The sequence below is a fragment of the Homo sapiens genome, chromosome 10 (genome assembly GCF_000001405.40).
Source record: "Homo sapiens chromosome 10, GRCh38.p14 Primary Assembly".
Taxonomy (NCBI): domain Eukaryota; kingdom Metazoa; phylum Chordata; class Mammalia; order Primates; family Hominidae; genus Homo; species Homo sapiens.
The window spans coordinates 54,177,009-54,204,429 of NC_000010.11; the positions used below are offsets into that span (position 1 = coordinate 54,177,009).

Sequence of the window (27,421 nt, forward strand, 5' to 3'; positions counted from 1 at the left end):
AAACTTGAAAGCAACCAAAATATTATTTCATGGAAGAATGAATAAATAAACTGTGTTACATCTAGATAATGGAATATTATACAGCCCTGAAAAGATATGGGCTATTATGTCATGAAAAGACATGGAGGAATTTTAAATACGTATTACTAAGTGAAATAAGCCAGTCTGACAAGGCTACATACTATATGATTCTAAACACATGCTATTCTGGAAAAGGCAAAATCATGGAGACTGTAGAAAGATCAATGATTGTCAGGGGAAGGAAGCAAGCAAGGGGGAGGGAAGCATAGGCAGAGCACAGGATTTTTAGAGCAGTGAAACTCTTCTGTGTGGTTCTATAATGGTGGATATATGTCATTAGTACAAAACCATAAAATGAAGCACCGAGAGTGAATCCTAATGCAAACTACAGACTTTGGATGATAACAATGTGCGAATGTAAGTTCATTAATTGTGGCAAATGTATCACTTTGGTATGGGGTGTTAATATTGGGGCAGGTATGCATCTGTGGGGACAGTGAGTATATGGGAAATCACTGTATCTTCCTCTCAATTTTGGTGTGTACCTAAAACTGCTCAAAAAAAATCTTTAACAAAAAAGATGAAATGATGATCTACAAATACATTCTAAAATAGAAATTGCCTAAACTGAACAATAATTTGGATGTATGCAGGTAAAGCAGAGGGAAAACAAACAAGACTGCAAGGTGCCTATCCTGCTGCCTGTGGAACCTAAAGATTAATGGTGTGCATCATGATATAGCTGCCTCCAACACGACTAGATGCATGTTTTTGAGTGTCTGTGTTTGTTTATTAAAATAAAGATAATTGATTAGTTAATGTATTTTTGGATATGTGCAATTTGAAGTGCTTGTAAAAGATCTACTTTGTCATGTCCAGCTGATATCTGGAATGTCAGCTTGCTGCTTGGGAAAGAGGTCATTACAGGGCATTTAACTTTGGGAGACAAGTATATATAGAGGTGATGATTGAAAACTTGAGAACAGATGAAAAAGAGAAGAAGTATATATACGTATTTGAAGAACGTTAATTTTTAAAGGGTGATAATTGAACAAGGGGCCAGTAACATCTCTCAGCCAACAGAGAAGTAGGATGGGAACCAGGGAAGTTTTTCATAAAAGGGTATAGTTGAGAGTTTCAAAAAGATTAAGGACTTTTGACTTTGACATGTAGAAATAGACTGATGGGATATCTAATTTTATATGATTTTAGTGGTGTGATGTGAGTGAAACCCAGAGTATATTCTATACAAGATAGATAAATACAGATAGAAATATAGAGATAGATATAGATCAATATATGTATGCAGGCACTTAGATTGATACATTTTTGTCGATAAGGAAAATAATCAGAGTGGGATAGAAGCATGAAGAATTATATCTGGGAGTAGGGATTAGACCAGAACCTGGGGATGTTAATAATGTTAATTGGGCAAAGGGAAGGGATTAGTCACTGGAGAGAGATTATTGCATCAAAAAAATAGAATAATTGGTGGAGCACAGAAATTGGAAGGAGTGCAGTCTAAGACAGGAAAGAAGAGTAAGAAGCATCACAGAAGAAGGGAAGGAGAACTAAAAAACAAAAGAACAATGAAAAGAAGTGGGGTGAGGATCAGAGGACTCAACTTTATGTGGGATTCCATCTTAATGACTTAAGAAGTACCAGAATCTACAATGAACTCAAACAAATTTACAAGAAAAAAACAACCCCATCAAAAAGTGGGCAAAGAACATGAACAGACACTTCTCAAAAGAAGACATTTATGCAGCCAAAAAACATGTGAAAAAATGCTCATCATCACTGGCCATCAGAGAAATGCAAATCAAAACCACAATGAGATACCATCTCACACCAGTTAGAATGGCAATCATTAAAAAGTCAGGAAACAACAGGTGCTGGAGAGGATGTGGAGAAATAGGAACACTTTTACACTGTTGGTGGGATTGTAAACTAGTTCAACCATTGTGGAAGTCAGTGTGGTGATTCCTCAGGGATCTAGAACTAGAAATACCATTTGACCCAGCCATCCCATTACTGGATATATACCCAAAGGACTATAAATCAGGCTGCTATAAAGACACATACACACGTATGTTTATTGCGGCACTATTCACCATAGCAAAGACTTGGAACCAACCCAAATGTCCAACAACGATAGACTGGATTAAGAAAATGTGGCACATATACACCATGGAATACTATGCAGCCATAAAAAAAGGATAAGTTCATGTCCTTTGTAGGGACATAGATGAAATTGGGAATCATCATTCTCAGTAAACTATCACAAGGACAAAAAACCAAACACCGCATGTTCTCACTCATAGGTGGGAATTGAACAATGAGAACACATGGACACAGGAAGGGGAACATCACACTCTGGGGACTGTTGTGGGGTGGGGGGAGGGGGCAGGGATAGCATTAGGAGATATACCTAATGCTAAATGACGAGTTATTGGGTGCAGCACACCAGCATGGCACATGTATACATATGTAACTAACCTGCACATTGTGCACATGTACCCTAAAACTTAAAGTATAATAATAATAAAATAAAATTTAAAAAAAAAGAAGTACAATTATTCAGTGGTACTTTTAAAATATTGTTGTTTAAAACTGTAACTCTCAAAATTGGCTGCATATTAGAACTGTTTCAATTTCTTAAATAAAATCTGTCTAAGTGAGTCCGTTATGGGTGGCCAAATCATTTAAATACAAACATCTTAGAATGAAGTGCTGGCATCAATACTTTAAAAGTTCCTCAGGCAGAATGCTAATAGTCAATTATCATTGAGAATCACAGTTTAAGAGAATTGCAGATGTTTGCGAATAGTGTTTATGGAGCATTAATTGGATAGCTAGCTACTAGTATTTAAATTGACATCTTCAAAATATTAAAATCTGTATCCTGTATAGGGAGTAATTGTCTTTTCAAGAAAACTAGCAATGTGTGGATTGGTATTAGTGGAGCATAGTATTTATTAGTTTCAACCTATACGATTGCATTGACATCTGATAAAACGGTCTGCATGGAATGAAAAATGAAATTATCTCATGCAGTAATTTTCCCTTAAACAAAATATGTGCTAATAATGTGATTATACTTCAGCTCCGGTTACGGAAGATGATGTTGGTGCTTTAAGGCATCACTCCTCTAAGTGTTGTTCATGACCCATGTGCATGAGAATCACTCCAGGCTTTTTGAAAAAATCAAGTGTAAGAGACATATATAAAGTCAGAAGCTCAATTTATAACTGAGAACTTATAACAAGGATCTGGTTAAAACTTTATAACCAACTCATTTGCTCCTTGCAGACAGGGTAGATACTTAATAAGAAAAATATACTGTACTTAAAAAATTGAGTATGCACTCACATCAGGCTAAAAGAGTCTCATGGCTACATTGAAAATGACAATAATTAAAACCTGTTGCCCAAGTGTCTCTTTCCTTTAAAGTGCTCATTGTCACTTTTGTTTCTGACACTTTCAGTCTTTGACATCAGTTTACTAACCACAAAGTAAACTGATGTATCCTGTGTCAGGTCAATGGGGAAAGGCAGGGTTGTGATGAGGTGTAGCATAGGGACCTATGTCATGACTCTTAAAGGGTATATGTAGATCAGAGTTCTGTATCAAGTTTCTTTGTTTTAAAAATATTCTCTCAATGAGAACTAGTTTATGTCTAGGTTCTTGGAGGATGTTTTATAGCGAGACCATTCTTCTACCACATACCAGAAATAACATTAAAATACTAATTATAAAGCTTAATTTGTTGACTTAAATAATTTTTAAAATTGTGGGCATGCTGACACAAACAACAGTCTATCTTCATAATCTGCATAGTTCAGGAAAATATATAAAAGTCTTGAAAGGCAAGGAAATATCTGTTTTACAAAGAGATACATAAGGGAAATTAACTTTTGTAGACTTCAAATGAGGAAATAAGCCTTTGATCCCCTAAGGCAAACATTTTTGAGATACAGTTTCTCCATATAATTGCTATGATTTTCTTACTTACACTTTGTAGTTCCCTGCTGGCTGTTTTTCTGTGTAAACTTACTTTCATTTCCAATTATGTCATTATAGAGATGAAAATCAGCTCTAATTAAATAAGAACATGACAATAATTGTCATTCATTTATTTATGTAAACTATGATTTTTCTACCTGTGAAAAGGTGATTTAGCAAAGAAAAATGTAGCTCTCATGGTCCATCAATTGACTGGAACTAATAGTCATGTATCTACAGCTTCCCATTCTCTCATATCTTTATTCATTCAATATTACTTGTCTAAGGGTCTTCCTTTCTTTCATCTTCAAATAAGCATTTATTAAGTAGCTACACTATATTTATTTTATTTTATAATTTTAACTTTTATTTCAGATTCAGGGGGTACATACGCAAGTTTATTACCTGGGTATATTGCATGATGTTGAGGTTTGGGGTATGATTGATTCTGTCACCCAGATACTGAGTATAGTACACAATAGTTAATTTTTCAATTGTCTCTTCTCCCTCTCTCCCTCCATAGTAGTCCCCAGTGTCTTTTGTTGCCATCAGCAGCTACCGTATTAAACATCTACTATATGCCATGAACTATAGATACAGATGCCACAGATACAGAAATAAACTAGTTACAGTTTTGCCCTGAAATCAAATGCTTTAAAACACATTCATTTTATTAATGTGACAAGTACCATACCAATATATTAAAAAATTTACCATAGCAGTTTGAAACGTTTTTTCTCTCTTTACCAAATACACAGCAGAAGCTATTTACACATAGAATAAACATTCCGGTGAATTCCCAGTCCCCAGGCTATCATGTCACCCCTTCTATAGAACTCAAGAAAGCATATCTTAATTCATAAATAAAAAATAATAGCATTGAATGATTTCTTTTTTCTTTCACATTTTGCTTGTTTGTTTGTTTTTTGTGTTTTTCTTTTTAAGACGGAGTCTCTCTCTGTCCCCAGGCTGGAGTGCAGTGGCGCCATCTTGGTTCACTGCAATCTCCACCTCCTGGGTTCAAGCAATTCTCCTGCCTCAGCCTCCCGAGTAGCTGGGACTACAGGCGCATGCCGCCACGTCCGGCTAATTTTTTTAAAAATTTTTATTTTAGTAGAGGTGGGGTTTCACCATATTGCCCAGGCTGGTCTCGAGCTCCTTAGCTCAGGCAATCCGCTCGCCTCGGCCTCCCAAAGTGCTAGGATTACAGGTGTGAGCCGCCATGCCCAGCTGCATTGAATGATTTCTAATTTTAATTAACAATTAATGCAAAGTTGGTGATGATTTATCCTTGGAATAAATATTTACTGCATGGCTAATATGTCTGCCATGTGCTGGCATTACAGTGGCAAACAAGACAGCCAAAGTTGCTAACCTCCTGAGTTTTCCATTTGGAGTAAGGGAAAGAAGAAAATAGGTTAATTTCAGATATGGGCTATGACCTTGATGAGAGAGGAAAAGAGAGAAAAAAAGTGTGTGTGTGTGTGTGTGTGTGTGTGTGTGTTTGAAATAACTTATTTAAGTGTAATAAGCACAGATAATGGTAAAAATAAGATAAATCAGGAATAAAGATGTTGCCTGACTTACATGTTTTCAAAGTTACCATTTACTATCTAACTTAAATTTTCTCTGCTGTAATGATTATATTTTATCTAGGTAACCAATATCTAGTGGGATTATGCATCAATTTACTAAGGCAGTTTTTTGTATTTATCTCCAAGTGAAATTTAATCAATTTCTACAGTAGTGAAAAGTAATTTGAAGATTTAATATATTCAGTATTTTAATAAAATATAAACTGGTCAAATAGCTATGCTTTTTTTTTTAAAGTAACAACCAAGCATTTATTCACTTACTACAAATAGCTATGTTTACCTCTAATAACCAGTTAAGTCTCCTTTAGAGTCCATATAGATATGCTTTTATTTGTTTTTGGTTTTTTGTTTTTGTTTTTGTTTTTTTTTGAGATGGAGTTTTGCTCTTGTTGCCCAGGCTGGAGTGTGATGGCATGATCTCAGCTCACCGCAACCTTGGCCTCCCAGGTTCAAGCGATTCTCCTGCCTCAGCCTCCTGAGTAGCTGGGATTACAGGCATGCGCCACCATACCCGGCTAATTTTGTATTTTTAGTAGAGACAGCGTTGGTCAGGCTGGTCTCGAACTCCCGACCTCAGGTGATCCACTTGCCTTGGCTTCCCAAAGTGCTGGGATTACAGGCGTGAGCCACCATGCCTGGCGGATATGCTTTTATTTGAAAAGTAACAGAAATTTAAAGCTATTTAAACTAATTATGCTATACAATAAGTGTGAAATCAATTTCTGTTTCTTAAGTAATTTCTTCATGAGCATATCGTATAATGCACATGTAAATAACAGCTTTGAGTGTACACTTATATTATGTGAGTAGTTACCTGTATGACACTGTCCCCAGGTCTCATGTCTGTATAAACATACACATCATAGGATATTTCAGGGAAGGTTGGCGTGTTATCATTTGCATCCATCACTTGAATATTGACGATGACTGGCTCACTTTCTTGTACACCATCAAATGCTGTTATCTTTGGGAGGAGAAAAATACACTTAGTAGAGATGTTCTGCAAATATAAGTAGTACAGAGTTTGCTCTTACAGTTTAACAAGTTTCTTACAGGTAATCTTACAATTTGAAAGGGTGCAAAAATATTTTGTTGATAAAAGGACGTAATAGAGACGTAATATTACATATATTAAAAGTGTTCTAATATGGTAAGAAGCAAGTATTGAAGATTTTGTTTTAAGGTATTCAACTCCAGGCATATTTTAAATAATCAGATATGCAAAATATCATTTAAAGTGGGCCAATAACATTGCTGACTCTTAGGGTTAACTACAATTTAATCCTTAAAAACTTAATTGGAAAATATTATTTGCATTTACATATTTTGTATACAATAGTTCCTTGTACAGTCAATGTGTTTATACCATCAGGAAGGTAGACTTCCTAGATGTACTTTGTATCACAGTAATTCACCCAATGGCAATTTTCAAAGGACTAAGTGGTATCATTTAATTGTGATATTTTATACTTTATCAATGTTGATAATGTATGTTATACTTTATCAATGTTGATAATGTACATTATCAAGATTTTAACAATTCCTGCCAAATCAGTGCTACAGCACCACCATCTTTGTCTAAATCCACTTTGTATCTAACTTTTAACAATCACATAAACTTTCCTGGAAGTTCTGATCTTTTTCTATGTAGGCTTCTCCAGAAATAATTTCTACATATCTTGTTTAACTTGTGCTTTCTCTTAGCTCATCTTTCTCCTGTGACTGATTCAAAAATTGGGATATAATTAGAAGTTACATTTTTTCTTTATCCAACTGTCAACCCTACTATACTTGTTATTTACGTGTTTGTGTGCATGTGTGTGTATGTTTATGTGTGTGTGTGTATTTCCCTATCTCATGATAAATATTTACAATCACAACTTTAATAACCTTTACTTTTTTTCCCCCTTGATTAGCCTAACCCATGATTTATCTACCTCAGTGCTATTGACACCTTGGGACAGATAACTCTTTATTGTGAGGGGCTGTTCTCTGTATTACAATTAGCAGCATCCTTTATGTCTACCTACTAGATGCCTATAGTAACTACCCCTTCACAATTGTGACAAACAAAAATGCCTCCAGATGTTGCTAAATGTTCACTGGAGGGAAAATTTATTCCCTCTTGAGAATCACTGGCTCAACCTTATGACTAAATAAAAAATGCAAGAACAACAACAAAAAAGGTTAGGAAATAATTCTTTATACCTCAATTTAAGACAATTATGACTGTTTAGTAAAGACTGAAATTCTCACTTTCTTTTTTTTTTGAAAAGTTTTTTCTTCTGTGAGGAAGAATGTTAATATAGCTACACAAATTACAAAAAAAGAGCAATACATGTAAATAATTTTTCATTGATCTTCTCTCTGGTATTGAAAATAATGTATTTTTCCCCCAAGTCATTGATTTTTTCAGTTTTAACCAGACATCTCTTTCAGTTCCATACAAACATACATACATACATTCATACATACATATGTATATTTACACAAAAGCTCTTTACCGAAAAGGTGTAAGTTTGCTGTTCTTCCCTGTCCACTGGTTGAAGTAAGGTGAGGTAGCGAGTAATACCAGTCTGTGTGACGGTGAAGACTGAGGTGTAGTCATTCAGAAAAAGGTGAAGCTCTGGGTCTTTTGTCTTTGAAAAAAAATGACATCGTTTCAAACGTTGAATAAATAATGTAGCTATTAGTTCATTACCTAGAAGTTAATGTTTGAAATTTATAGCAAAAATCCACGTGAAAGTATTAAGAATTTCTAACGATAAAAGATATTTAACTAGATATTTACTCAAATGATCTAAACTATTCAAAAGATGGTGACCTATATCGTGGAATACAAAATACTGAAATACAAACAGGTATAATCAATGTGGGAAAAAAGGAAAAATAATAGAAAAACAGAAAGAATATAAAAACTCCCAATTAAATATATTCTTACTGATTATTTGTTATCAATATTTTCCAAAATAGCATTGGACTGGAGAAATAAGAAATAAAAGCAAGAAAAGAAAATTGCATTTCAAAATTTTAGCAATAAGACTTTATAATTACTTCATTTATAGTAATAAACTGCATATATACATATTACTATCTTGTTCTTACTTATAATGCAAAATAGAAATAAAATTGGTTATGTATTATTCATTACCTATAAATATCATGCTTACTCTTTCTTATTTTAATGCTGTAAAATTTTCCAAATGGAAACATGTTTACTTTAATTAAAATATTTCAGATAATTTGATTTAAAATATGCATAAATTTAGCAAATGTGTCTGATAGAAAAGTCTAGAAAAAATGATATATACTTAAAAAGGAAGGGATTTCAAAATTCAAGTCTGAGAGACAATCAACTTAGCATTGAAGACCCTTTGCAATTTCATTGCCACCCCTGAAACAGAAGACAACATACTCTAATTTAGAGAAAGAACAGCAATATAAAGTAAGAAGGCTAGCACTGATGTCTGCATAGTAGGAAAGAAAGGCAGGTGGAGCGAAGAAAAAAGGAATATTCAGAGAGTGGACTATTATGAAGGCTTTGAAAAAGAGAGAAAGGAGTGATACAGGGAGGTAAGGTGTTGTTCTAGATTATACTATCTTTTAAAGTATGCATAGCATGATATGAAATGGATTTAATATCATAAAACACTTCTTTAAGTCTGATGTCAAGGACTGAGGCAAGAGCAAAGAATAGAAAATTGTTAAATGTGTTTAATTTGAAAATAATAGAACTCATAATTTCAAAATTTCTATGTAAAATACAAAAGTTGTAATGCACACTACTATAATAAAATGTGAACATGATTTGATCCACAATATACTTGAATCTGCCCATCTTTTAAACATTGTGATATGTGTAGATTTCAAATAACCTTGAAATAAATGGTTTCATTTGAACCTAAAACAAGTTATGTATTCATAATATCTCATTCTGTAGTAGCTTCTATGTTCAGGATTTTGACTTAAGGTCACTGTGCTACATTTATCCTGGAACAATAAGAAAGTAATACTACACATAATAATTCCAACTGGCGTATTTATTATAAAATGATCAAAAATATTGAGAAAAAGTTCAAGAGGCTTCACACTCTGATATTTTCAAACAGGCACTTCAGTTGTTTCCATTTCAGTGTCATGAACCCAATTACTCAGATAACTAGAAAGCGGGATATTCTAAAAAATCTAACATGTTAGTTTTAAAAATAAATTATGTATTTTTAAAAGTCAATTAGAAAATGCATATGTCTATTCTGAATGATATTTTAAGCATTCTTATTTTACACTTTAGAGTGAATTGTGATTAAATTCAATTATTAGAGTTGATAAAAAAGTTTTAGTTAACATGCAGTTTCAGTCAAAGAAACTCTAAGTATGAATGTCTGCCATTTGTTTTGTGTTCATCCTGGATTTACCTAATCACTGGGCTTTTAAGCACATATACACTTCTCTAAATGCACCAACAATGGTGCCATCTGGCATGCCTTAATTTATTCGGACCTTTAAACCCTAAATGCAAGCTGAGGAAGTTTTGCTATGTACCTTGTTTACCAAATATTTACTTTGTTCCTTTTGTTCAAATCTCATCATTCTCTACTTCCTTTATACCTTAATTCTCTCAATTTATTTTCTTCCTTTCAACCGTAACCTCTGTTAATAAATTTGTTAGGTATATTCACTCATATCTTCACATTTTTAAGCATTTTTGTGTGTCAAGTATTTCGATAATGCAATATTTCAATAAGTATTGAGTTGTCAACTAGTGTGTCCAAATGTGACTGTAGTATAATATGTTTGTGTCACAAAGAGCACTTACTTTTTACCACTTTCAAGAAAACCTCTAGGTTTTGTTTGTCAAATGCTTTTCGTTTGAAGATAATGCACACATCAATACTCCATAAATAGACTTCCTTATATTGGATAAACAGAAACATTAAAGATCTTTTGTTAATTTAACTGTCTCAGTTTCTTGAGTGCTTTTATAATAACTAGCTGGAGAAAGATAACATTTCCCAGAACTACAGTGTATTTGCTTTTTGTGAAGAAGATAATCTATCACAGAAAGCTAGCACTATACATGGCATATTATAGCTCATTCTGTTTTGTTTAGTTAATCTCTGATCAAAATATAACATTTACATTTATGTATATTTAAAATAATAATCTTGTACATAAATGCTACTGGTAAATATCCTCGTATTAATTTAAGTAAAAAAATTTAGGAAGCCAGATTTGGAAATGTTCAACAAATTGTCACTCAATGTTTAATAATTTATATTCATTTTTAAAGATAGTGCAAGTTTCAAATGTTGTGTATATATTTATGTTCCAAATATTACAGCATATCATTTTATGAGTTTTATGAAAATTTTAAGTAATATCAACATAAAATGTTAATAGATACATATCAGTACCAACTAACCTATTGTTTTGATTGACAATATTTACAGTTCAAGGTTTTGCTACCCTTCACAAGAAAGGTGTATCAAAGGTTTGGTAAGAAACAATGTGCATTTGAAGTCAAATATCCTTCTCTAAATCTCTTTATAAACTTAAATTCCTTCTTGTCAAGCTGCATTCCGATACAGTTTGAATTTCACAAATATATTTGAATTTTGCAATTCCTAAAGAGTAACTTGAGTCAACACTTGTATATTTGCAACTCTTTTAATCATGTTAGAGTTAATAGCTTATAAGTTTCATAGACTAGGATGTACATGGACAAATAATGCTCTGGCTTAATATTCCAATAGGGGTAGCAGACTTTAGGTAGCTGTTGTGTCTATAAGTTTATTTAAAATGAATTTAAGTGTTAAATCAATAGGTACACAGAGAGTTGATTAAAAACCGTTAATTTTCCTCTGACATTAGGTAATATTTATTTTACCCTAAAATATCCAGTCAGTATATACCAAAAGTATGATATATTAATTCACTTATCTGCATATTATATTTTGAGATGGTAAAATAAGCTCTGACATGCACACATAAAAACAGAAAAAAATGCAAAAGTAAATGCATATGAAAACACACAGGTAAACAAACATATGAATATAAAATAAACAAGCATTCTATCATATAAAACTATGTTCAAAGATGAGAGTCTACTGTTTAAACACCAACTTGGGGTTTCTAATGGGAATAAATATAGGATATCACAAACACACAAGACCATATGCATGCACATATATAGGCACATACAACACAGACATGTATAGACATATGTGCACATATATATGTATGCATATACAAGAGCATACATATAAATGACAAAGCATAAGAGAAAAATGACAAAAAAATGTTATCTCCTCAGCCAGTTTTAATTACTTGGTAGTAGTTGCCTGAGTATTTAGTTCAAAAAAATTCAATTTCAAACTTACAATGTTTTAGAAAAAATGCCATGATAAATTACCAATGTTTGTTGTGGACTGAGAAAACATTAATAATTAAGCAGTCTTTGCCTCAGTTGACAATTAAATTTGGATTTTACAAAATTTCATAGTACTATAAACAATAGATTATGTAAATATTTTTACCTTTTTTAACTTTAAAATATTTTTAAATTTTAAACCAATGAAGTAAGTATATTTAAATTTATATAAAGTATTTGTAGATATCCTTATAAGGGATAATGAAGTAATACCTACGTGTTTTAGTGAAGAAAAAAAAGAACAAGGAAATAAACCACAGCAATTAACAAAAGAACAATCACAAGCTTAACACCTAGTACCTACAGGAACTCCACTGGGTGGAACCTATACGCAAATTAAACATGAAATAAATATTGTAAATGTAAATGATCACAACCGCACATATGAAGAAAAAGCAAACCACTTCCAGCACACTAGACTGACAATTTTTTTCAGAGTATACAATTTTTTTATTAGCATTGTGACCCACATATAATGGAATAACGATATTTATGAAGCATATAAATACTTAACTGCTTTATGAGTATATTGAATTAAATATCAAAGATACCTCTTCATAGTAAAATAACGTTAAGCAGAGAAACAAATTTACATGAAGTTATAAATAAGTATCTTTTTACAAGCCAAATGAGTAATCTTTATTGATTATTATTCTTTGTCATTTTTTATGATCAGCATTCAATAATCAATTTTTAGCATCTCTGACACTGAAAACCTGGTGGTCTCAGACATGCCTCTTAACACCTTGTGCCTTACCTATTCTACTTATATTATGGGTTATTTTGAAATTATGATGTGGTACAAGTACTCTAAAAGGCATAATGTATAAACTGATATGGTTCATATATGTATACATGCATGTGTATGTGTGTGTGTGTGTGTGTGTGTGTGTGTGTGTGTGTATGGGTATATGTCTACATCTATATAGCAATAAAAAGAACACTGGTGCAAATATTTCTTTTCCTTTCTTTTCAGTATTACTGTGGCCCTTGGAATTCTTTCTGACTTAAAATCTACACTGTGAATACTATCACAACTCACATTCCTGGCTATTGTTTCTTAAAATGTGGCTTCACTTTCCACTAAATTAAAGGGAGAAACACAACTTAAATTTTACGCAAATGGATCCAAACTTGTCCCCTTCTTGGCATTTACCATCTGGAATAGCTATGCTTGAAGCAACTCTTGAGAGCCAAGCCCTGCAATGACAACTTCCACTTTTATGCTTGAGGCTTAATCTCTAATACTATGCTGATATTGTATGAGGTGGCACACTGTCTCTCTCAAAGAGTTTATCCCTATAATGATGATTGTCACTAATTCTGACACTCAAAAGCAACAGGATTTTGTTTCATTTTGTTGAATTAGGGTCCCAATTTGTCATCTAGCCTGCAGTGCAGTGGTGCAATCATGGCTCACTGCAGCCTCGAACCAGTGGGCTCAAGGGATCCTTCTGCCTCAGCCTTTCAATTAGTGAGACTACAAGCATGAACCACCATGCCTGGCTAAGTTTTTTGTTTATTTTTGTAGAGACTGCATCTCCATATGTAGCCAAGGCTGGTCTGGAACTCCTGGCCTCAAGCCATCCTCCAGCCTCACTCTCCCAAAATGCTGAGATTATGAGTGAGCCACCACACCCAGCCAAGAGTGGCATGATTTACCTTGAAGTAAAATTCATGCCCATAAACTAAAATGGCTTTAAAGTTTTCTTTTCATAATACAGATCTTTTGAAAATCCCAGAAATGAACTAATTTACTTTATAAAAATAAATGGTGCTCGGTCTATAAAAAACAGATGTATCAGAAGGACATAAATCCATCTTCTAATATATGAATGACTATTTCATAGATTTATTTTGTGTGCTGGCAAATGGAAGATTTAAGGAATAATAGATGAATTAAAAGAAAACTGGTTTCAACTCAGTATGAAAAACAGCTTTCTAAGAATTAGAGTTGTTCAAACATGGGATAGGCCATCTTGTGAAATACTTAATGCAACATCATTAGCATCTTTGAAGCATCTGTTAGATAACCTAATTCATTCAATAGTGACTGAATTTATGAGTTTATTGAAGAGTTCCCAAACCCTATTAAGTGCTGGAAACTGTGTTAGTTCTTCAGCATACAAAAGTTGCTAAGATATAGGACCTATTCTCAACAGATGTAAACTCATGAGGGAGAAAGACATTATTTTCAAGTTGGAAGTATAGAATTAGAGAAATGCACTGAGGGAGGCATGCAACTAAAATTGGATAATGAATACCGTGGAAAGATTCTCGAATGAAGGAATGCCTGAGGTGAGCTCTAAACACTGAGTATAAGTTATCCAAGCCAGCCTGTGCAACAGATGAAAGATTTCAAAGCCTAGAACATGTAATGAGCAAACATTAGACAAGATGTAGCTTGGCACATGAAAGAAACGACAAGCAGTTGCCAAATGTTATAGGTGAATTAGGAAGTTTCCAAAACTCAGGCCACAAAAATGTTCAGGTATCAAGATACAGAAAATTGTGTGAGCTTAAATTTTCTTCTCTAGAGGAATAGGTGTCATAAAAGTATATCAAATAGAAATGTGGGCCAGACGCAGTGGCTCATGCCTGTAAACCCGAGCAAGGTGGGTGTATCACTTGAGGTCAGGAGTTCCAGACCAACCTGGCCAACATGGTGAAACACTGTCTCTACAAAAAATGCAAAAAAAAAAAAAAAAAAAATTAGCTAGGCATGGTGGTACAAGCCTGTAATCCCAGCTACTTAGGAGGCTGTTGTGGGAGAATCACTTGAGCCAGGGAGGCAGAGGTTGCAGTGAGCCTGGATTGTGACGCTGCACTCCAGCCTGGGTGACAGAGAGAAACTCTCTCAAAAGAAAGAAAAGCAAGGGAAAGAAAAAAAAGAAAAGAAAGAAGGAGAAGGAGGGGAAGGAAGGGACGGGGGGAAGGAAAGGAAGGGAGAGAGAAAGAAAAAAATAATGAACGGAGAGAAGGAAGGAAGGCAGGAAGGCAGGCAGGCAGAAGGAAAGAAGAAAGAAACAAAGGAAGGAAGGAAGAAAGAAAAAAAAAAAAGAAAGAAAGAAAGAGAAAGAGAAAGAAAGAAAGAAAAAGAAAGAAAGAAAGAAAAAGAAAGAGAAAGAAAGAAAGGAAAGAAGGAAGGAAGGAAAAAGAGAAAGAAAGGAGAGGGAGAGAGGGAGAGAGGAAGGAAGGATGTAGTTAGATGTTAGATTTGAGCTTTTGAATAAATCACTCTAATGGCCCTGCAGAAGATAGACTTGAGTAAGAAATCAAGAGACCAAGAACATCAGGAAGTAATTCTAATAACAGACCAATAGGGTGGTGGTTATAAGGATAGAGAGAAGAAAAGAGATTAAATAAATAATTAGGGGACAAAATAGGAAGATCTGGAAGATTTCTTAGTTGTGGCGAATAAAGAAAACATAAAAATCAAGCAAGACTTCTAGGATTCTAGGTTGCATAGCACAATAAAACATCTATCAATTTCTGGGAAATGGGTTTTAGGAGAGGATTTCATACAGTACTGGAAGTTTAAACTATTTCTAATATTCTATGAGCTTATTTATATTTTATATATAGAAACTACATATGATATTTTTAAAAATTTTATTACTAGAAGACTAGGCATACTTGTTCACTCTCTGGACACCTAATGACAGTCACTCACCATAGATTATTTTAGAAAGGGGGTGAGTCTAAGTAATAAACAAATGATCAGTTTTGCTGATTAATTACTTGACACTTTTATAAAAGTTATGAAGCATGCCACCCTCCATGTACATGGCATCATCTCAGGGAAATTTTCTCTCCATGCCCTTTCCTACCAGTCCCAACTAAAGACACATACCAAGGCAGCAATGATTGCTACCATATAGATGACTGGACAAGAGGGGGCACCTGATGAGTATGAAACTCACAATGTTATACAGCTATTACATGACAGAACCAGGAGTCAAGCCAAGATCTGTCTAAATCCAAAGCCCAAACTGCCAAAAACACTTCAGAGCATTTCATAGACTAACTGGTACTGTACATCTCCAAGAGTTGAATTATAAGTAGTGTTTCTCAAAGGTTTTAGACCCCTGAGCTCTCTCCACTTTATTTCATCAATGCCCTGTGAGTACTACTGTCTTTTACAAAGTTCCTTGGAACACAATTTTAACATTTGTAATTTAAAAGTGAACAGACAATCCAGACAAGTACGGGGTCACATAGGCAAGCATAGGGCTTAGTGTGTAACCAATAGATAATATGAACACACTGAGAAGGTATAAATACATAAATTTTGCTATTGTGTAAACTTAAAACTACCTAACTTTAGATTTAGATTTTTCTAACCACCAGTTCTATTAAGGTATGACCTAAGCTATCATACACTTTCAAATTGATTAGTCACTACTTAAAATATGAGTATGTATTCAATTGAAAAGCAAAATCCGCACTAAAATTTGTGGGACATTAGTAGATCTACAAAATACATTTGCTCAGCCTGGATTGAAGTTATTAAGGTGACTCTAGGTGTTTTCTAGTGGGGATTCAGTAGAGACTTTTTTCCTGTGACTCATGAAACCCACTATACATCAGAGAATCCCTAAATTCTCTTGACTGGCATATGAAACTGTGTATAGATTAATGTGTTCACTTTTCTAGGAAAAGAACCTAGAGCATTCTTCAGCTATCATTATAGTCAGACTATGATCAAAGTATATAAAATATAGAGTGCTTAAAATTGAGAACTTTGTTTTCCATAAACCTTGGCTTAAGGTCCATTTCTACTGTTTACTAACACTGTGATCATGGTAAGGCATTTAAACTAGCTTTAATATCCCTTTCTGAAATAGGGATAATTGCATCTATCATGTTTGTTGTGAGATTTAAGGGAATTAATGCAAGAAGAATTTACTGTATTGTTTGACATGTACTGAGAACTCAATGACAGATATTGTTAAAACTTGTGGTTTAAGAAGACACTAAATGTGAGAGACCAGGAAAGATTGAAAAAAAAAAAAAAGCTAGAATGGAAAAAGAAAACAAAGCAAAGAGAAACAAAAGAATAAAATAAAGCATCTGGTGGGAAGAGGTGGAGTGCCAACAAGAATTGTCATAGCCTCTGTGGAGTGTTACAAAATTTATTTAGAAAGAGAAAAAAAATCTGAAAGTGCCTTCCTAATTTCCTGAAGTGATTATAAAGCTATGTGTAATGAGATATTAGGGAACATTCTAGAGCTCTGCTGCCTTATGAGTGACATGTATTTATATTTAATTTCATTAATATTAAGCAAAATTTAAAAGTTATGTTTTTAGTCCAGTTAAATTTTAAGTACTCAATAGCTGTATAAGACTAGTGGCTACTATGTTGGACAGTACAGTTACACAGTAATTCCATCATCACAAAAAAATCCATCTATCTGAGAGCAAGCACTGTTAAGGGAGAAATGAATGAATCAAGAATTATATAACAGCAAGTAAGAAATCCAACTATCTTTTACATATAGTTATGCTTATAATCCAAACACAGTTGTATTTACTTGCTGTTTTATATATATGTGTGTGTGTGTGTGTGTATGTATACCTGTGTATATATCTCTATCTATCTATCTATCTATCTATCTATCTATCTATCTATATCTGTATGTGTATGTATACCTGTGTATATGTCTATCTATCTATCTATCTATATATATACACAAAACATATGTATACATATTTATGCAGTGAGGATACTGTGGTAGTTCACAAACTCAAAGGAAAATCTTTGGGAATTAGAATACCTCTGGGGAACTTAAAACTTAAAAGACAGGCACTCAATGGGACTCTCTTTTCTGTGTGTATCTCTCAGGCTTCATTCTCTCCCACTGATAATTGGCTTTCTCATGATGTCAGCAAATGTGGCTACAAAGGTTTCAGATTCATTTCCACTTCTCTAATACATGATACCAAAGTCTTTCAGCCCTTCTGTTCTCCATTGTAAATTCCTGGGAGGATTCTGGCTAGCCTGGTATAGATTTTCTGTCCCTTTATAACATTCACTCTGGCTAAGGAGGTAAAGTGTTCTGATTTGCTCAGCCTGGACCATTTCCCACTCATGTAGATAGTGTGAGTACAAGAAAAACAAAAGACAATGATTTGTGGAGTGAAGCGTAAGCATCCACATAGTCACTGGCAGAAGTATGAATGGGTCAGCTGCCTCAAATATATTTTAATAACGATGCCCTCAGACTTGAAGAAAAGTCTCTGAGAATCACAATCTAGGGGTGCTTTCATGATTTTTTACTCATGTAGTAACACCATTATTTTTGCTTTATCAATAATTATATAAAACAGTTCTCAACATATGTTAATAAAAATATTGCCCTCGTCATTAAATAAACATCAAGTAAAACATTCATTTTCTTACATATACTGAATATCTGCAAGCTGAAAAGGAATAGTTATTGAATTCAAAGATACTTTTTAAAATATCCTTGTTTTGGAATTAAATTATAACACTAAAACTCACTTACAGTGACTTAATTCTCTCTTCTCTAGCTTATGTAGCCATATCTTTGTCATATTTCCCATTAATGGAAATATGAGATTTGTTACACAAACAAGAGCAAAATATGTATTTAACTTACATCTTCTATGTCCTTGTCCAGAGCTACTATTCTTAAAGGTGAAGTCAAATTGAGACTGTCCGAAATGGTTGCTCCCACTGGGGCAGATTCCAGGATATAGCCTTGATAACTGGGCATTGTAAAATATGGACTTTGATTGTTTTCATCCAGTATTTCAATGTGTAGACCGGCAAAGGCAGGAAGAGGATGACCATTGTCTTGTTCAGCCTAAAATTGAAAAGAAAAGAAAATATTTAGAAAGTATATGTCGTGCTATCTTTTTGGAGTTTCACTTTTCATGCAATATATAGGGTTCTCTTTTTAACTAATATCATCACATAAGGAAAAAATACGTTAAAGGGCCATTTGAAAATATAAATGAGGAAATGAAAATCCAGTGAGGCTTAATTGCTTCAGTCTTCTGTTTTAAAACTCAGTGTATATTTTAAAAATTCACTGTAATAAATTATTATTATTTTATTTTATGTTTTTATTTTTTGAGACAGAGTCTTGCTCTGTCGCCCAGGCTGGAGTGCAGTGGAGTGAACTCGGCTCACTGCCAGCTCTTCCTCCTGAGTTCACGCCATTCTCCTGCCTCAGCCTCCCAAGTAGCTGGGACTACAGGCGCCCACCACCACGCATGGCTAATGTTTTGTATTTTTAGTAGAGACAGGGTTTCACCGTGTTAGCCAGGATGCTCTCGATCTCCTGACCTCGTGATCCGCCCGCCTCAGCCTCCCAAAGTGCTGGGATTACAGGCGTGAGCCACCGCGCCCAGCCAAATTATTGTAATTTTTATTGAATGCAGTAGGAGAGGTAATTGTGTTTAAATACATTTAGTCAGAAAATTCAAATGGAGATACTTGAGTGTACCGCTGATAAAATATTTAAATAAAAGAAAAAAAGTAACACAAATAAAGAACTATCGTATCGACTTTGTCTCTTCTGTGTCTTCTCATTTTACACTAATGTTTAAATCTCTGCTATGGTCTCTGCTGTTGTACCCCCCAAATTCGTAAGTTGAAATTTTAACCCCAAAGGTGATGGTATTAAGAGGTGTGGCATTTGGAAGGTGATAAGGTGGTGAGGGCAGAGCCCTCATTAATGGGGTGAATGCCCTTATAGAAAAGGGTCTAGAGGGCTCCTTTTCCCCGCCTCCCACCACGTGAGAACAAGTAAGAAGGTGGAACCACCCTCTGTGAGGAAGTGGGCCCTCACTAGAAACCAAATTTACAAGAGTCGAATGTCCAGCCTCCACGACTGTGAGAAATAAATGTTCCTTGTTTATAAGCCATCCAGTTTATGGTGTTTTGTTATTGCAGCTCAAAGAAACGTAGACAATTCCCAAATAATTCGTAATTCTATATAAAATTAATAAAGTTATATTTATTGCCCACTGACCGTCCCCAAAAGCTTCTTAAAAAGGACAGAAATAATAAATTTCATTGTAATGTTGTAGAAACTGTGAATTGCAATATTATTTAACTAGAAATGTTTTTCAAGTAAAATTAATATTCTTATGTATAAATTTTCTTTTTTTTCTCCCATTAAGTTTAAGAAGTTGATAAAAATTTCTGTTTCTAACACATTTTCATACAAAATCTCTACATGGTCATGCTGCACATAGGAAAATACTAACCATAGATTTTCTGTTTTTTAAAAAATATATATTTTATTATATGTGTATTGGAAGGTTTAATTTAAAGGAAGATTTCATCACAATTGACTTCTGGAAAATCTCCTCCAACTTTTATGAGAAAACATGGATATAATTTAATAGCATATACATTTATTAAAATGAATTCAAATTCTATCTTTAATTTTTGTTATGTTTTCCCCATTGGGAGAAAAGTTGTATTTTTAAATCAATTAAAATGAAAATAAAATATTTGATATTAAACTCTGGTGTGATTTTCTAGATAGATAGTGACAGTACTTTGTAAGTAGCTCAGCTAGAGATCTCTAACTGTTAAAACGTGAGGAAAGAAATTTGGTCTCCAGAAGACAATTTTTCACTTCCTTCTAATAGTAATTTAACATTTTCATCTGTTAAAAAGGTAGGTAACAAACTACAGTGATATTGGTAGGGATTGCTGACTTTTCACCAAGAAATATTACAATATATTTTCCTTCATATTATTTATATTGAAGATTTGTTGAAATATTATTTATGTCAATTACTAATGTGAAATTATGCTAATTAATAAACCCATAGGGAGGTAATGTCATATAATGCATTGATTAAAAAACTTATATTTGATTTTTAATATATTGATATCTCTATTTAGATAATATGCTAGATTTTCTTAGTAATATTACATAGTTTACCTTATGCATTTAACTTTTCATTTGGCAGCAGAATGTCAAATTAGCCCATGGCACAAAACGCTTTAAGATCCTGCTCAGCACTAAGAAGAACAGTACTGGAATAATGTTTGGTCCTGTCTGGGATTATGTATCCATCTCACATAACCAGGCATGCTGCTAATACCATCAGTATGGATGAGGTCTTTCTGCATCCAGCAGTTGTGATTAATTTGTGCCGAGCGATGGATGTTCTTTTAGGAGTTACCCCTGTGACACACATCAGGCTTTCTGGAGACAGCTGACCAGGGCAAGAGGTAGAGTCTACGCCTGGAAAACATTGTTTTTTCACTGTTTAAAACTAATTGGTCCATATGGGCTTCCAACCCAATGACCTTGAAATGATTTAAGCAGGAATCCTCTGCTTCACTCTTACAGGCTCAGAGCAGTTCATACATGCAAGGCATTTTGAACAGATTTTTTTCTCTCTTTCTTGTATCTCTCCATCTTTCTTTAATATCTAATTATTCTTTTTTTTTTTTTTTTTTTTTTTTGAGACAAAGTCTCGCTCTGTCGCCCAGGCTGGAGTGCAGTGGCGGGATCTCGGCTCACTGCAAGCTCCGCCTCCCGGGTTCACGCCATTCTCCTGCCTCAGCCTCCCAAGTAGTTGGGACTACAGGCGCCCGCCACTACGCCCGGCTAATTTTTTGTATTTTTAGTAGAGACGGGGTTTCACCGTTTTAGCCGGGATGGTCTCGATCTCCTGACCTCGTGATCCGCCCGCCTCGGCCTCCCAAAGTGCTGGGATTACAGGCGTGAGCCAATAACCAGCATGTCATATCCAGGACATAAAAATGCTATGAAAAGTCATAAATTCTACAACTTTTCCTCTTTCCCCGATGAACACACCCAAACACACACAATATATAGGTGGTGAGGAGGATGAAAAAAGCAAAATTGTATAATAATGAAATAAGCTTACATTTTACATTCAGATCATATATCATTAGTTTTTACCAGCAGCTGTGAAGCCAGTAAAAATATGTATTATTTGCATGATGAAAACAAAGTGATTCAATGAAAAGAGAAATAAAATTCAAATCAGATCTATGAAGATAATCTAATTCTTAACTTCCTCATATCTATAAAAATTACATATAAAGGCTCTGCCCATTTTTACTCTAATATTAATTTAGAGTTAATAATGATTAATATTTTTGGATTGCTACTATGTATTTTGTTCTATTTGAGGTGTTTCAATTTGCTGACCAGATATCTGTCTCCAAAGCCCACTTTCTTTATGCCATTTATCTGTCCAGATGTGAAAATGTGTATTTTTGAACTGATGGAAAAAAAGAAAGGTTAGTTTTATATTCAAGGCCACATAGGCTGTAAGTTACATACAGAACATGGGCCCAGACTCAGGTCTCCTGATTTTTAAGAGGCTACACAGGAAGATTCATCATATGTTTCTCAAATTTACAGAATGCAAATGAATATCGAAAAGCAAGAGAGATGGGACAAATTAACAGTAGGAAAAAATATTGAGATAAATACTTCTGTTAAGTAAGAGTTAAAATGTTGAATTTAAACAACAACAACAACAATAATAATAATAATAATAATAATAATATACTTTGCTCGTTAGTGGGCCCATGCATCAAAACTCTGATACAATTATCTTTTCTTCCATACAATATAAATAAGGGTTCTCAAAAATCTGAATTATTCTGTTCCCCTGAAATCCGTGGTGGATGAAATGAGAAATATTTTAAAAACACCTCAGTTGGAATAAGGTGGTATTTTAAAAATCATTTACTTTCATAAGGTAACCTTATTTATATTTACAGAGTCTATAGTTACGAGTTAAACATTATATTTAAGTGCTAGGTTTTGTTTGAAAAGCGTCTGGGCATGAGTCTCACTTTCAGTAACGAGACCAAAGTAAAACTGAAGCCAAAAAAAATGAAGTATAAAAAGCACACCATTTTGTTACTTTGGAAGGCAAAACATTGAAAAAGACAAACCACTCCATCTTCAATATTGAAAAAAGGAAATACTGATAATTTCTGAGCACCTTGTAACGGAGGACTGAGACTACAGAATAACTTTGTTCTTCCTAACTGGTGGCAAACAATTTAACAATTTCATAATCTCTAATATGAAACCTTTCAAGTAGATTCAACAATTTAAAAAAGACAATGGTAAAGCTTATCAAATTATTTATCATTTAAATAAATTCTAGGATAGAAGAAAGAAATCATGTTTTCCAGGAATTATTTATTGTGCATCTACAGAGCCCACTTTTTTTTTTTTTTTTTTTTTGTATTTTAAATTCTGGGATACATGTGCAGAATGTGCAGGTTTGTTACGTACGCATACACGTCCCATGGTGGTTTGCTGTGCCCATCAACCAGTCATCTACATTAGGTATTTCTCCTAATGCTATCCCTCCCTAGGCCCCCACCCTCGACAGGCCCCGGTGTGTGATGTTCCCCTCCCTGTGTCCATATGTTCTTATTGCTCAACTCCCACTTCTTAGATCGCAAGTGCTCACCTTCATCTGTATTCACCCTCCCAAGTTTTCTTAAACCCACTTCAATCATACTTTTGCCTCAGCCACTCAAAGCCAGCTGCTTTTGTCAAAATCACCGGTGCCTTTTACATTGCTAAAAGCAATATTTATTTTCAGTCCTTATCTTACTTGACCTATCTTCAGCATTATTCACTATCCTTTCACGGCAACAGCTTCTCGGTTCTCTTCCTATTTTACTACCCATTTTTTCTCATTCTCGTTTGGTGGTTTCCCCTTTTCTCCCCTACTTAATTTTGGAGTGGCCCAGAAGTGAGGAGTTATTCATCTTTTCTTTATACTCACTCCCTTGCTCAATCTAGTCTAATCTCACACCTTAAAAATGTCAGTACTATTATGACTCCTAATTTCAATCTCCAACCTGGATTTCTCCTTTGAATTCCACAGTCCATATCCAACTGTGTACTTCGTAACACTGCGTAAGTATCTAACAGACGTTTCAGATATAAATACCTGCAACAATGAAATTCTGATTACCCTGCACGAACCTCCTCCACTCATGGTCTTTTCCACTTCTTTAATGGCAGCTACATAGTTACAGGTACCGAAAACAAGAAACTTGGAGGCACCTCTTGCTTCAGTGGATAGATATGGAAAAAGTGAAAACCACTTTTTTGAAAATTGAATTTGAAGTTCCATCTTCTCATTTCACAATACAGTATTAGCAGATTATATATGCCAAGAAATATTCTATGTTAGTAAACTTGAGATGAAAAAATACTCTTATGTCAATGTAGTGAATTATGGTCTTATCCTACTGAAGCATTAAAGGTAAATATTGCAATTTTCAAAGTTAAGGTAATACCACATTTTAATTTGGATAATATTATAAATTTATGAAATATTTTTCTATATTTATAATATGTAAAAATAGAAATATAATCATATTGCTTGTATAGTAAATTCCACTGTTCTATGCTATTGTAAACCTAAACCTTTCTTGTAATTAGTCTGAATCTCATTTTTCATTAGATTTTTAAATTCCATGAGCATAAACACTGTAAATGTATCAGTTTCATTCACTGCTAAAATTTCGGACAATCCCTGGTATATGGAAGAAGGTCAAATATATATTTATTTTTACTTTTCTGTATCTTTAATTTTAATAGGCTTTAAATATTTTTTTAAAAATTAAGTGATTGTGACATCATTCTAATTCCCATTCGATAGATATTTATGGATGTTTTTCCAGTGTGTGTGTGTGAACGTACACGAAGTGGAAATTAATTAATGTGAATGTACAACATGAACACCTTAGATTATAGAATGTCTTTATTCACACATTTTAAAGGTTTGTGATATCTGCAAGTTTACCTATGGGTAATTAATACTGATGCACATTCTTGCCAGTCTTATGAATGGGCCTCACCCAGCCCCCTCAATCATCAATTATGATTCTATATCTATAGGGATGGTGCTGTGAACAGAATAACGTATAATCTTCTAGAAGGTTTATGCATTTACATGTAATATTTATGCAAAAAGGCCTATTTATATGCATTTTTGAATGGACAGTGGCTTAAAGAATGAGATGTTAGTTGTGACTTTGCTCTTAACACATGGCTTAGATACATTTTATTGTCAGAATGGTGCAAATTGAGGACTTTAGCATGATTTTGACTGTGTGTACTCTTCCAGTCCACTCAACACATTTTAATTTATTAATTTAATTTACTTGCTTTACTTACTGAACTATAGCTTTTAATACCTAGTTCTTAGAACCTGCTTGGCCAATTTTCGCAAACATTAGATATCTTAGGAAGAGAAAAAAAAAAGAGGGAGGGAGGAAGAAAAAGAGGGAATAAAGGATGGATAGAGGGAGTGGGTAAGGAAAACAAATGGCATTCTCCTTTCACCAGAGGTAAGGGACAGATAAATGTTAAAAATCATGGCAACCACACAAGGCAATCATTCTCAAACTCTGATGTACCTAAGAATAGAATGGAAGGCCTAATAAAAAGCAGATTCCCTGGGCCAGGCGCAGTGTCTCACGCCTGTAATCCTAACACTTTGGGAGGCTGAGGCAGGTGGATCACCAGAGGTCGGGAGTTCGAGACCAGCCTGACCAATGTAGAGAAACCCTGTGTCTACTAAAAATACACAATTAGCCGGGCATGGCGCTGCATGCCTGTAATGCCAGCTACTCGGGAGGCTGAGGCAGAAGAATCGCTTGAACCCGGGAGGCAGAGGTTGCAGTGAGCCAAGATTGCGCCACTACATTCCAGCCTGAGCAACAAGAGCGAAACCCCACCTCAAAAAAAAAAAAAAAAAAAGTAGTTTCCCACACCCTATCCACAAAGATTCTCGTTCATATGTTGATGTTAGAGGCAAGGAATCTCCATTTTTATCAAACTGTCTGTGGTGGTTATAATGTGAGCAGAATGTACTTTCACAGACATTATTCTGGGTGTGGCTACTCAAACTCCAATTTTTAGAGAATCTTTCTTTTTAGCCCTATTGGTTAGGGCTATTGGTTAGCCCTATTGGTTAGTGGACCAGTCTTTACTAATGGATAGTCCTTATAATCTGGAGCAAAAACTCCAGATAATACAGTGCATCCAAGAGCCAATGTTGTCACGCCAGAAGATTTGGAGTCTAGTAACTGAAACTGCATGCAATTATACAATTATCAACTGTGTAGGTTCAACACCACTAAAATTGTCATGTGACTCTAGCATTACCAAAGATTGCTCGTGTGTCAGTGGGAATACTCTACAAGTAATAAGCTCAGTCTTAGCTAGTATTCATAGGTCATGGTCAAATCCTCTTGACATTCCATTATTCATAATTAATTAGAATTTAGGTATGTTGGTGTATGTGTGCACGTATGCCTGTGTATACACAGTATCAATATAGTTTTGGGTGTAAGCCACCACTTTTACTTTATCATTTTTAAATAAAGGAACCTCAGATTGAGAAAAAAAGCAGAGAGAAGGTAATTTGACATACAGAAAGTTTTTGGTTTCTAGTCAGAGTCAGAGAAAGACAAACGCATATAGAATGTACCCGGAAGGCAGATAATGACAACATTCTGAGTAATAGTATATTCCTGTTGCTAGTGACTAAACATAGGATATAAGGCTACTATGTAATTCAAAATTTTCTTCTTCCTGTGTTCCCTTCCTGGACACCACACCTCTTGCTAAACAGCTCTTCAGTAAAGCCTTCAATATACAAGGGTGTAATTTTTCCAAGTTTCTTCACCCAGCAAGGTGCAGGCTGCATATTGATCTTTATATGAGGATGATTCTGAAAAACGGGCAAATTGACCGAACTACCAATGATTCACGCATATCCCTTTATTCCTTTATTTTCAATTTTAAATTCAACTCTCAAGTAGACAAAGAAGATTGTTTGCTTTGGTTAATTTTGCTGGAGGGCTAAATTATATATCCTGTCTTTCTTTATGGATAGAAATTGCATTTGCTTAACATTTTAAAAATCACTTTAGACAGTTAAAATATGTTTACTTAAGCTTTCAACCAATTTATTTTTTGGCAATAACAATATTATTAGTGTATAACCTTCAAATAGCCTGACATTTGGACATGTTTGTCTTGGGATTCAAACGTGAATTACTTGTACTTTTATTTTGAAATCAAAATGTTAATAAAAGTCTCAGATTTTTCTTTAGCAGACAATTCATTGCCATTGAATTTTTTCACAGGTGGAAAGTATATGGTTGTGGAACATATACATCCTGAGTTGGTTACAGTACAGAAAAATAGAAGGAATCATAAAACTCTTAAGAATCTGATTAAAAACATCAACATTTAATCCAATTATAAAGTGTTGCAAAAAAAAAAAGAGAAAAGTAATCTATGCTGTTAGAATCCTATAGTGGAAGTTTGTGGTTGTGTCAGGTGGAGGT

The 27,421-nt window shown here is 34.2% G+C and overlaps 1 protein-coding gene across 20 annotated transcripts in view; it reads right to left on the minus strand.

The window, feature by feature from the left end:
- The window catches only part of PCDH15 (protocadherin related 15), a 1,825,172-nt gene that overhangs the window by 374,238 nt on the left and 1,423,513 nt on the right, over nucleotides 1–27,421 (minus strand). For 18 of the 20 annotated variants that reach the window (XM_047425663.1, NM_001354420.2, NM_001354429.2 and 15 more), the window contains 3 exons: nucleotides 18,675–18,881; nucleotides 8,126–8,260; nucleotides 6,436–6,585 (listed from right to left, as the gene is read on the minus strand). In XM_047425663.1, the coding sequence (XP_047281619.1) occupies nucleotides 6,436–6,585; nucleotides 8,126–8,260; nucleotides 18,675–18,881 (492 nt within the window). Of the gene's footprint in view, nucleotides 1–6,435; nucleotides 6,586–8,125; nucleotides 8,261–12,355; nucleotides 12,377–18,674; nucleotides 18,882–27,421 lie in introns of all 20 variants that reach the window. The other 2 variants (NM_001354411.2, NM_001142769.3) reach the window with 1 other exon arrangement.